Here is a 2,153-nt window from a genome sequence, read left to right on the forward strand (position 1 = left end):
CAGCCAAGCTCATTCCTTCACACCTGACACAGACACCAGACTTTTCTGCATCTCTTCCTGGCCCTTTAGGAGAAGCAGAGACTACTATTGGTTCCTTTACTATCAAAGACAGACACCAAAAGCTCCTCAAATCTCCAGAGAATGTGAAGTTTATCATTTCTAAGTATACTGGACAAACTCTTTTTTTTTCTGATTTAACTAGTAATATGTCATCTGGAAAAGCTATTTTGTCATAAATTAGAAAGAGCATCAAGAAGAAATAAAAATTATTTTGCTCCAACATGTACATGGAGAAAAGGTAAGTGGAAGAGCAGAGGGGAGGGGAAGGGAGGCCATTAGCAAAGGCCACCACTAGCTAAGGTTTGTGCTGGAAACTTCTTTAAGCAGATGTTGATTTCACATGCTGCATTTGATACACGTGTCTCCTGATAAAAGCAAAGGGAATGAAATTACAAAGTCCAACACTGTCATCACCACAAAGCAATATGCAAATTATGGTCTTAAAATAAGTGTCTGAGAGACCTGGGTAGTTTCATCCATACAAAGGCAATTTCTTTGTCATCCTCTTACTGATTAACTACACTAATCTCCGGTGAAGCGAGCTTGGGATTCCTACAAAGTACAATGTTGTGATCCATGACATTTAAGACATGGAAGGGGCCTCTCCAGAAATGAGCCACTGGGCTGAGCCTGGGCAGAAAATAGACTGCAATGAGTCACACAATGTAAGACGGCACAAAAGATGATTCACCATGTCTAAAGGAAAATAAATAGGAGTGAATGGCTAGTGTACTCAGGGAAACTCAGTCCCAATGGGCAGAGTTTATTGGTCTGCATCACTCTGAGTTCCGTCATGGAGCTGTTGGGATGAGGTGATGGTGCTGGAAATGCTGAAACGGTGAGGGGGTGAGGAAGCAGCTCCTTTTGGGGCAGTAGCAGTGCAGTAGCTGCTTGTTTCCAGTTAAGGATCTCTGTGGCAGGGGGATACATCCGCACTGGATGCTCTGAAGTGTATGATGTGAAATGATTTATCCAGAAGGCTGCACAGCTGGCATCAGATAAAACATTTGGAACCACTTTAGCTGTGCATTACCTAGAGGCAGCATTCTCTTCCTCGATGCTGAATTTAAACCATTCCTGTCATTTCAGACTCTCTAATGAAATCTGTTTCTCACAGGATGTCTCTGTCTTGGAAATGGCATGTGGTCTCCTTGCAAAATGAAAAGGAATTTAAAGCATATAAATCACCTGTTTTTCTTCCTCTCTCACCCTACACACACACACACACACACACACACATACACACAGACACACACACACACACACCCTTTCTGTTAAAAAAATTTCAGAACAGAAGAAGAAAAGCATGGAAGTGATAAAGGTATGCTTCTCAGAACAGGGAATGGTGAGGGAGGAGTGGCTACTGCCTGTCAATAGCTCACAAGCAGCAATGCTGACTGCCAAATGACTCATGCAAAAGTCCCAGAGGGATCGGTTCCCTCAGTCGCCCTTTAGGAGAGAGAGACAGAAAACGTGATATAAATGTTCCCACAGAATCACGGCTTTGTCAGATCCAAGGCTTATGCTGCTGCTCACTATGCTGGAGTGTAAATAAGTTGATGTGCCCTATCGTAGCTAAAAACCTAACAGAAAACATTCAAAACACTCACATACATACTTGTACACAATTCAAGCTCCAATGCGAAAGTATAAATAGTCTGAGTCTCTCCTGTTCTATGCTTGAATATTAAAGTAAGTTTTAAAGCCTTCCAATATTACTTGATGCAATTTAAAAGCTAAATCTATATTGTGATATTACTATCTTTATCTCAACTATAATTCCAAAACCACTTCAAGAAACTAAAAATCAAGTTTAAGCAGAACCCAGGAAGGGCTGCAGTTTGAAGTCTAAACACAAATGCTCTTTACTATTGGTAAATAGGGGCCTTACTTCCATTGATTATAAGCCACAGTTACAAGAACACCACATCTTTAACTTTTCCCATATACCTTGGTTTTCCATGGTGATGATGCTACTGCTTACCATAGTTCTTCACCTCGCCTGGAATTAGCCAAAGAATTGGATGCTATTTTCAAGGGTGCTAGAAAAGACACCTAGGGCTCGGCCCAATTTGTAACAGTACAACAAATGG

The 2,153-nt window shown here is 41.3% G+C and overlaps 1 annotated feature.

Annotated features, from left to right (window-relative positions):
• Positions 526-1,725: an enhancer, noted in NCBI's record as "CDK7 strongly-dependent group 2 enhancer chr6:82853903-82855102 (GRCh37/hg19 assembly coordinates)". NCBI's record gives its function as "activates an origin of replication core promoter dependent on BRD2, BRD4, P300/CBP, MED14 and CDK7 cofactors, with strong dependence on CDK7, by STARR-seq in HCT116 cells {active_cell/tissue: HCT116}" and the evidence as "EXISTENCE:reporter gene assay evidence [ECO:0000049][PMID:35650434]".

Source organism: Homo sapiens, chromosome 6 (assembly GCF_000001405.40).
Source record: "Homo sapiens chromosome 6, GRCh38.p14 Primary Assembly".
NCBI lineage: Eukaryota > Metazoa > Chordata > Mammalia > Primates > Hominidae > Homo > Homo sapiens.